Genomic DNA, 9,280 nt, shown 5'->3' with positions numbered 1-9,280 from the left:
TTTGATTTCTTTTTTTGAGGCAAGGGCTTGCTCTGTTGCCCAGGCTGGGGTGCAGCAGCCCGACACAGCTCACTGCAGCCTAGACTTCCTGTTGTCCAGGCTGGTATCAAACTCCTAGACTCAAGCAATCATCCCACCTCAGCCTTCTGAAGTGCTGGGATTATAGATGTGAACCACTCCAACCCCATATTTGATTTTTGTACAGCAACAGTTCCCAGATATAAAAACAGGCTAACCATGATGGCTCACAGCTTTAATACTAGTGCTTTAGGAGACTGAGGCAGGAGGATCATTTGAAGCCAGGAGTTAGTTTGACACTTGCCTGGTCAACATAGTGAGACTTCATTTCTACAAGAAATTTTTTTAAAATTAGCCAGGTGTGGCCAGGCGCAGTGGCTCACTCCTGTAATCCCAGCGCTTTGGGAGGCTGAGGCAGGTGGATCACCTGAGGACAGGAGTTCAAGACCAGCCTGGCCAATATGGTGAAACCCTGTCTCTACTAAAAATAAAAAATTAGCTGGGCGTGGTGGCAGGCGCCTGTAGTCCCAGCTACTCGGGAAACTGAGACAGGAGAATCTCTTGAACACGGGAGGCAGAGGTTGCAGTAAGCAAAGATTGTACCACTGCATTCCAGCCTGGGAGGTTGCAGTCAGCTGAGATCACACCACTGCACTCCAGCCTTGGCAACAGAGTGAGACTCCATCTAAAAAAAAAAAAACACAAACAAACGAAAAAAAGAAAAACAATTAGCCAGGTATAGCATTCCTGTAGTCCTAGCTCTTCAGGAGTGATATGGTTTGGGTCTGTGTCCCCACCCAAATCCCATGTCAACTGTCATCCTCAATGCTGGAGGTGGGGTCTGGTGGGAGGTGATTGGATCATGTGGGCGGATTTCCCACTTGGTGCCCTTCTGGTGATAGTGAGTTCTCTTGAGATCTGGTCTGTTAAAAGTATGTGGCACCCCAGCCTCGGCATCGTCTGGGAAGTGAGGGGCACCTCTGCCCGGGTACCCCCACTGTCTGGGAAGTGAGGAGCGTCTCTGCCCGGGTCCCCCGACTGTCTAGGAAGTGAGGAGCGCCTTTGCCCGGCTGCTGTGCAACCCTCCAAATGTGAAGTGATAGCCTTGTGTGTAATCTTTCTACCTGCCCCAAGTTTGCATTTTCAACATTAAAGTTTACTTTTTAACTAAAAGTTTTAAATTGGAGAATTAAAAAAAAAAAAGTATGTGGCACCTCCCCACTCCTCTCCTCCTCCTGCTCTGGCCATGGAAAACGTGCCCACTTCCTGGGATTACAGGTGTGAGCCACCACACCTGGCAGGAAGTTTTGAAGTAGACTCGACATAATTGGATTTACATTTGTTAGATACAGTGAGTTCCTCTTCAAAGGTTCCACTTTACAGCAAACAACCTTCCAGCCACTCCCAATCTATAACCCAATCTGTAACCCACATCTGTTCCCAATCTGCAGCCCAATCTGTAAAACCCACATCTGTTCCCAATCTGCAGCCCAACCTGTAAAACCCACATCTGTTCCCAATCTGCAGCCCAACCTGTAAAACCCACATCTGTTCCCAATCTGCAGCCCAACCTGTAAAACCCACATCTGTTCCTTATTTGGCCACTGTAGCCGCCCCTGATCCATTTGAAGTAGCCAATGGGGATCGGCTTAGATGGTGTGGTGCGACTCCAGCCAATGGGGACTGGACACAGTAGCAGGGCGTGACTGCTTTAGGGATAAACACCCCTGCCCTGCTTTGTTCGGTGTGCTCTCCCAGTGGCCAGAAGAGAGAGCGGCACTCTTCTGCAGAAGTAAATTTGCCTTGCTGAGAAGGCAAATTTGTGAGCACTCAAAAAAAAGCCAGTGGAAGTTTTTTTTTGTTTGTATTTTGAGATGGAGTTTTGTTCTTGTTGCCCAGGCTGGAGTGCAGTAACACAGTCTTGGCCCACTGCAACCTCTGCCTCCCAGGTTCAAGCGATTCTCCTGCCTCAGCCTCCTGAGTAGCTGGGATTACAGGTGTCTACCACCAGCCCTGGCTAATTTTTTGTGTGTGTTTTTAGTATTTGAGTGCTCATTTTCTTTTTTTTTTTTTCTTTCTTTTCTTTTTTTTTTTTTTCAGACAGAGTCTTGCTCTGTTGCCCAGGCTGGAGTGCAGTGGTGCAATCTCAGGTCACTGCAAGCTCCGCCTCCTGGGTTCACGCCATTCTCCTGCCTCAGCCTCCCGAGTAACTGGGACTACAGGTGCCCGCCATCTTGCCCGGCTAATTTTTTGTATTTTTTTTAGTAGAGACGGGGTCTCACCATATTTGCCAGGATGCTCTAGATCTCCTGACCTCGTGATCTGCCCACCTTGGTCTCCCAAAGTGCTGGGATTACAGGTGTGAGCCACCGCGCCCAGCCTTGAGTGCTCATTTTCTTTGCGACTCCAAGCTCTTATTTCCAACACATTTGAGAGGAAGCTGTCCTTGTGCAGTCTCAGCTGTGTGATTGTGTGGGCCAGCTGTGCAACATGTCAAGTTACTTTACCTTTCTGCATCAGGGCGCAATCAATCAGCAGACAGAAACTGCACAGTCATTTGGGCAAGGAACGTTTAATATAAAGGATTATTTACTATAATGGAATTATCTGTACAGGGCTAAAGATAATGCAAAAGAATACTCTGGGCTGACAGAGAGTTCCCAAGGAAGGAGAAAATGTGAAAGATGGCCTCCTCCCCAAGGCTGGGGCTCAAATCTTGGAAAAGGTGTGGTTGCAGAGATGCTGTTTGGTGCAGTATGGATGATGGAGAGGTTCTCTGGTTTTCCCGTAGCCAGAGCTGGTCCACAGTCAATGGGCAATCACTCCTGCAGGTGTAGAGGGGTTGAAGGTGGCAGGTAGGGAGCCTGGCCAGGACTGGCAAGCAGGAAACACCTCTCTGGGGCAGGCTGAGGCTGGATGCTGACCAGTGGAGCATCTGCAAGACTCACGGGGATCCACCCATGGCATTGCAAGTGAAGTTGGCTGGGGGTGAGCAACACTGAGTGTGCTGGCAGCCACATGGCAGGAACAAGAAGAAAACAGAAGAAAGTGCAGAACAGGAAGAGAAGCACTTTCCTCCTGCAGGGTCCCTCCAGTGCCCTCTACTTACAAAGCTTAACGTCATACCTGCTTTAAAGGAGAAACAATTTAGGGCCCAGCTCCATTTTCACCAAGCAGGCGATGAAGTATGTATTTGAAGCTGAAAGACAGTAAATGGAGAATTGGCAGTTTCAAGCCTCAGTTGGGCCCTTGGTTTTCTCAGTACTCACTCTGTGCCTCCCAACAACTAATCTTCTTTCTGATTCTCCAAGTAGCTCTTTCAACACTCCGTAAAAATCCTATCCACCATCTTTCTTCCCACTTGGAAGAAAACCTTGCCTTTTTTTTTTTTTTGACAGGGTCTCACTCTGTCATTCAGGCTGGAGAGCAGTGGTGCGATCTTGGCTCACTGCAACCTCATCCTCCTGGGCTCAAGAAATCCTCCCACCTCAGCTGCTTGAGTAGCTGAGACAACAGGTGCATGCCGCCACGTCTGGCTAATTTTTGTATTTTTTGTGGACACGAGATTTTGCCATGTTGGCCAGGCTGGTGTCAAACTCCTGGGCATCTGCCTGCCTCAGCCTTCCAAAGTGCCAGGATTATAGACCTGAGCCACCAAGCCTGGATCTTGTCTCTTATTTTACAGGGAAAATACATAATAATGTGTGTTTGATTACAATTGAATAATGCAGGCTTTGGGAAATCCACCTGTTATGGGTTGATTTGTTTCCCCCCAAATTGAAATGCTGAACCTAATGCCCGGTACCTGAGAATGTGATTGGATTTGGAGATAGGGCCTCTAAAGAGGTAGTAAAGTTAAAATGGGGCCTTTGGGTGGGCCCTAACCTGATCTGACTAGGGTCCTTCTAAGAGGAGGAAATTTGGATGCACAGAGAGACATGGGATGTGTGTTTGCACAGAGGGAGGGAGGGCCTTGCGGGGACACAGCATGGGATGTGTGTGCACATGGAGGGAGGTAGGGCCTCGAGGGGACACAGCATGGGATGTATGTGCACATGGAGGAAGGAGGGAGGGCCACGCATGGACACAGCGTGGGATGTACATGCACACGGAGGAGGGAGGGCCACGTAGGGACACAGGATGGGATATGTGTGCACATGGAGGGAAGGAAGGCCTCACGGGGACACAGGATGGGATGTGTGTGCACACGGAGGGAGGGAGGCCACGCATGGACACAGCATGGGATGTGTGTGCACACAGAGGAGGGAGGGGCACGCAGGGACACAGGATGGGATGTGTGTGCACACGGAGGGAGGGAGGCCACGCATGGACACAGCATGGGATGTGTGTGCACACAGAGGAGGGAGGCCACGCGGGGACACAGGATGGGATGTGTGTGCACACAGAGGAGGGAGGGGCACGCAGGGATACAGCATGGGATGTGTGTGCACACGGAGGAGGGAGGGGCACGCAGGGACACAGGATGGGATGTGTGTGCACACAGAGGAGGGAGGGGCACGCAGGGACACAGGATGGGATGTGTGTGCACACGGAGAGAGGGAGGCCACGCATGGACACAGCATGGGATGTGTGTGCACACAGAGGAGGGAGGGGCACGCAGGGACACAGGATGGGATGTGTGTGCACACGGAGGGAGGGAGGCCACGCAGGGATACAGCATGGGATGTGTGTGCACACGGAGGAGGGAGGGAGGCCACACAAGGACACAGCAAGAAGGCGGCCATCGGCAAGCCAAGGAGAGGAGCCTCCGGCAAAACCCAACCTGGGACACTTTAGTCTCTTCTGGCTTCCGGAACTGTGAGAGAATAATTAATTTCTGTTGTTAAGTAACCTACTCTGCAGTATTTTTAATGGCACCCTGGTGTAACTAACATACTACTGGTGTTGGAGTATTTTATAACTTGTGGAGGCCATGGAAGCATCCCCCGCGCTGTCAGGGAGGCAGAATGTCCTGTGAAAGGAACAAAATCACTTTGGACACACCTGGCAACTGGGCAAAACCTCAACTGGTTCCTTGATCAACAGAGTGAGTCTTGTAGTGGGAAAATCAAAGTGGAAGCTCCTGCAACTCTACCCTCTGTGGAGAATGGCAGGCGTTAAGGCCACCTGTGAAGACGTAAAAGATCCGCACTCGCCTTGCTCCCATCCCCCTCGTCCCCAGGCTCCTCGTCCCAGTGCCCCTAGTCCCTGTGCCCCTCGTCCCCACCCACCTTCTTCCTGTCCCTTGTCCCCACCCACCTCATCCCCATCCCCCTTGTTTCTGTCCCCCTCATCCCCGCCCACCTTATCCCCATCCCTCTCATCCCCATCCCCCTTGTCCTCATCCTTCTTGTCCCCGTCCCCTTATCCACCTTGTTCCTGTCCCCTTAATTCACATCCCCCTTTACCCTGCCCTCCTTGTCCCCATCCCCCTTATCCCTGTCCCTCTTGTCCCCACCCGCCTTGTTCCATCCCCCTCATCCCCATTCCCCTTGTCCCCATACACTCCCTTGTCCCTGTCCCTCTTGTTCTTGTCCCCCTTGTCCCCATCTGCCTGTCCCCACCCGCCTTACAATCTGGAAACCCAACCCCTGCGGAAGCTGCATGACCGTGGTGGACAGCAGTGGACTACCACAGGCTTAAACAGTAGTAGCTGAGGCACGCTTGTGGCCATCCACATGGTCTTTCCAGAAGAGACTGATGTGGCCACGTGCATGTGGTTTTTGGCTACTGGTCTGATAAACACATCATTTCCGAAACCTGTTTGGAAGGGGAATCGGAGCAGTTCCTGCCCACGCGGGGCCAACAGCGGCACACAGGTACGGTCGCTCCAGAACCGAGTGGGGTGCCTCGTCCCAACATGGCCCAAAGGCCTGACCCACTGGATGGTCCACGAGCAAAGGTTGGCCCATTCAGTGGATGCCTTAATGGGCACTGGACTCATGCAGAGATAGCAGGTGCGCTGATGGCCTCAGAAAAACACGGGCGCTGTGGAGGGCAGGAGGCAGACTCCGTACACTTCAGAGACCTGCCCCATGAGCAATGTTCTCAGGGTGCGGTGGCCTGTAGGGTGCTGGGGCAGGCCCGATGCCTCTTTGGGCTTGAAGGCAATATGTTCTGCCCTTGGCGGGGGAGAGGGAAAGCCGTCGGCTCTGAGTGGGGTCTGGAGCAAGGGAAGGGGCTGAGGCAGGCCCAGGCTGGGTGACAGGCAGTCCTGCCACGTGGGTCATGTGGCCGTGAAGTTCCCACAGGCTTCACATGTGTGGCAAAGACACGAGTGGCGCCCATGACGAGCCTCAGTGCAGGATGTGCAGCCCAGGCCCAAGGCCACCGGCGCAGGGCCCCGTCATGTTCAGGGGACTCCACCAGCTGGTAGGTGGTGCGGGCAAGTGTTCGGGCCCTGACCGTGGAGGCCACGGTGTTTATGAGACTGGCGCTGCCCATCGTGACTGGGTGCTGTCGGAGCTACCAGTCGCACATCCAAGGGGCCGTCAGGAGTTTACTGGGAGATGGAAGTGGAGTCCAAGATTGGGCTTGGGCAGGTCCAGAAGGCACAAGGATGGCCCAGGTCCCCGTGCCACCCTCTATTCTCCACTGGGCCTCTCCCCAAGCCCATGCCTGTGGCTCCATGGGGAGGTCCCCGAGCCCTGCTGCAGGAGACGGGTAGTCTCGTACCTGGCTTACGGGGGGGCCCGGTGTGCTCTGTGGCCCTCCAGTCAGAGCAGGGCTCCTGCAGCAAGGCAGTCGGTGAAATGCAGCTCCAGCCCACCTCACAGTGGCCCAGTGGGTCCCTGAACCCAAAAGGCAACACTAGAGCTCCACAGCCTAGAAGCCGCACACCGCAGCGCGCCGTCTTCACCCTTCCTTGGCTATGAGCTCTTCCAGGCAGCACAAAGCACAGGGAAATGCCCCAGGGTGACGATGTGACTGCTTGCAGCCTGCTTTCAAAAAGAACGCCAGGAACACAGGCAGGAAAGGTGGGCAGGAGAGAGAATGAGACTGATAGCCACCAGGTAGCTGACTCCAAATTAATAGGATTGTCAACTCCTTACCAATTTATATTTACCGGTTACATAAAAAATGGTACAGTGACCTCCCCTTCCAGCCATGATTAACAAGTATTGGACTTGCCCTCCTGCCCTAAACTAGAAAGCTGGACAAAATCCATGCAACAGCTGCTGTTAGATGTTGGAGGGTGCAGTGCTGTGACCTGCCCAGGAGGATGGAGATGGGGGGGGCACCTCCCATGATGCCAGCTCTCTGCCTGGTGGCATTTTCTAGAATACAGCATATGAAGGGGAAACACAGGCATGGTATCAACTCACTAAGTTGAGGAGGCAGAGGTTGGACTCTGGGGAGGTACAGAAGGCTCGCATTTATGGGGTCCAGTACGAGAAAGAAACTGGGACCCATGAAGAGGAAGTCCCCAGTGCTGCCATGAGTGTTTGGATGAACGTTAAGCTGCACACACCATGGGGCCAGGCCACAAGCCACGGGGAGCTGACAGCAGACAATCCCCAAATAGCTTGCAGGCCTGGGAGGTGCTCAAAGTGTGATGAGCCAGAGTGGTGGGCCTTGCTGCCCAGTGGCGGCACTCAGTGAGAACTGCGAAGGGTCCAGCCCTACCAGGAGCACGGCTAACCTGGAGTAAAGGCCGCTGTAGACCAGCCTCAGCCAAGCTCAGAAACAAGCCTCAAAGGACTAAGCTGATCTACAGTCATTAAGCTGCCTGCAAAAAAATTCAATAATTTTGAAAGGAAGACAAATTTCAGACCCTCAACAATGTAACATTCACAATATCTATCAAAAAAATTACTAAACACACAGAGGTGAAAATGTCACCCATAGCCAAGAGAAACATCCATCAGCTGGAGAACATCCAGGCCGGGTGTGGTGGCTCATGCCTGTCATCCCAGCACTTCGGGAGGCTGGGTGTGCAGATCACTTGAGGTCAGGAATTTGAGGCCAGCCTGGTCAACATGACAAAACCCCATCTCTACTAAAAATACAAAAATTAGCCGGGCGTGGTGGCGTGCATTTGTAGTCCCAGCTACTCGGGAGGCTGAGGCAGGAGAATCGCTTGAACCTGAGAGGCAGAGGTTGCAGTGAGCTGAGATCGCGCCACTGCACTCCAGCCTGGGTGACAGAGTGAGACTCCATCTCAAACAAAACAAAACAAAACCCTGAAGAACATCCAGACATGATAAAGATGGTGGAATTAGCAGATAAGAACTTTTAAAAAGCCAAATGAGTAATTTCACAGGTTTAAAGGAAAACGTGGTAATGAGGAAAGGAATGAAAGGTATAAAGAAGAATCCAGTAGAACTTCTACAGCTGAAAAACCTACATCTGAAATGAAAAGTTCAATGGTGGAATGAACATGAGACCACAAAGGCTTCTGAACCTAAGGTGACCTTTTAGAAATAAAAACAAAACAAAATAAACAAACAAAAAAGACCTCAAAGGCAAAAGAAAAGGTCAATGGACTTGAAGACAAACCCACAGAACATGCCCACATTGCAGCACAGCGAGCGAAGGGGCAGGAAGGCACCAGCAAACAGGGCCACAGTGCCCCGAAGGCGAGCGAAGGGGCAGGAAGGCACCAGCAAACAGGGCCACAGTGCCCCGAAGGCGAGCGAAGGGGCAGGAAGGCACCAGCAAACAGGGCCACAGTGCCCCGAAGGCAAGTGAAGAAGGAGCAGGAAGGCACCAGCAAACAGGGCCACAGTGCCCCGAAGGCAAGCGAAGAGGCAGGAAGGCACCAGCAAACAGGGCCACAGTGCCCCGAAGGCGAGCGAAGGGGCAGGAAGGCACCAGCAAACAGGGCCACAGTGCCCCGAAGGCAAGTGAAGAAGGAGCAGGAAGGCACCAGCAAACAGGGCCACAGTGCCCCGAAGGCGAGCGAAGGGGCAGGAAGGCACCAGCAAACAGGGCCACAGTGCCCCGAAGGCGAGCGAAGGGGCAGGAAGGCACCAGCAAACAGGGCCACAGTGCCCCGAAGGCAAGTGAAGAAGGAGCAGGAAGGCACCAGCAAACAGGGCCACAGTGCCCCGAAGGCAAGCGAAGAGGCAGGAAGGCACCAGCAAACAGGGCCACAGTGCCCCGAAGGCAAGCGAAGAGGCAGGAAGGCACCAGCAAACAGGGCCACAGTGCCCCGAAGGCGAGCGAAGGGGCAGGAAGGCACCAGCAAACAGGGCCACAGTGCCCCGAAGGCGAGCGAAGGGGCAGGAAGGCACCAGCAAACAGGGCCACAGTGCCCCGA

The 9,280-nt window shown here is 53.2% G+C and overlaps 1 long non-coding RNA gene across 1 annotated transcript, besides 2 other annotated features; it reads right to left on the bottom strand.

The window, feature by feature from the left end:
* Nucleotides 1,015-1,515: an enhancer, noted in NCBI's record as "H3K27ac hESC enhancer chr8:144751717-144752217 (GRCh37/hg19 assembly coordinates)". NCBI's record gives its function as "activates a minimal SCP1, AML or CMV promoter by ChIP-STARR-seq in naive H9 embryonic stem cells {active_cell/tissue: H9 hESC(naive)}" and the evidence as "EXISTENCE:reporter gene assay evidence [ECO:0000049][PMID:30033119]".
* Nucleotides 1,516-2,016: an enhancer, noted in NCBI's record as "H3K27ac hESC enhancer chr8:144751216-144751716 (GRCh37/hg19 assembly coordinates)". NCBI's record gives its function as "activates a minimal SCP1, AML or CMV promoter by ChIP-STARR-seq in naive H9 embryonic stem cells {active_cell/tissue: H9 hESC(naive)}" and the evidence as "EXISTENCE:reporter gene assay evidence [ECO:0000049][PMID:30033119]".
* Nucleotides 2,575-7,944, bottom strand: LOC105375799 (uncharacterized). Its single transcript, XR_928737.3, has 4 exons — nucleotides 6,694-7,944; nucleotides 5,023-5,145; nucleotides 3,145-3,217; nucleotides 2,575-2,843 (listed from the first exon to the last, which is right to left on the bottom strand). It is a non-coding gene; the product is annotated as an uncharacterized LOC105375799 (long non-coding RNA).
* Nucleotides 7,945-9,280: the final 1,336 nt, after the last annotated feature.

This window comes from Homo sapiens, chromosome 8 (genome assembly GCF_000001405.40).
Source record: "Homo sapiens chromosome 8, GRCh38.p14 Primary Assembly".
NCBI lineage: Eukaryota > Metazoa > Chordata > Mammalia > Primates > Hominidae > Homo > Homo sapiens.
This window is presented reverse-complemented; position numbering and strand designations above follow the sequence as displayed.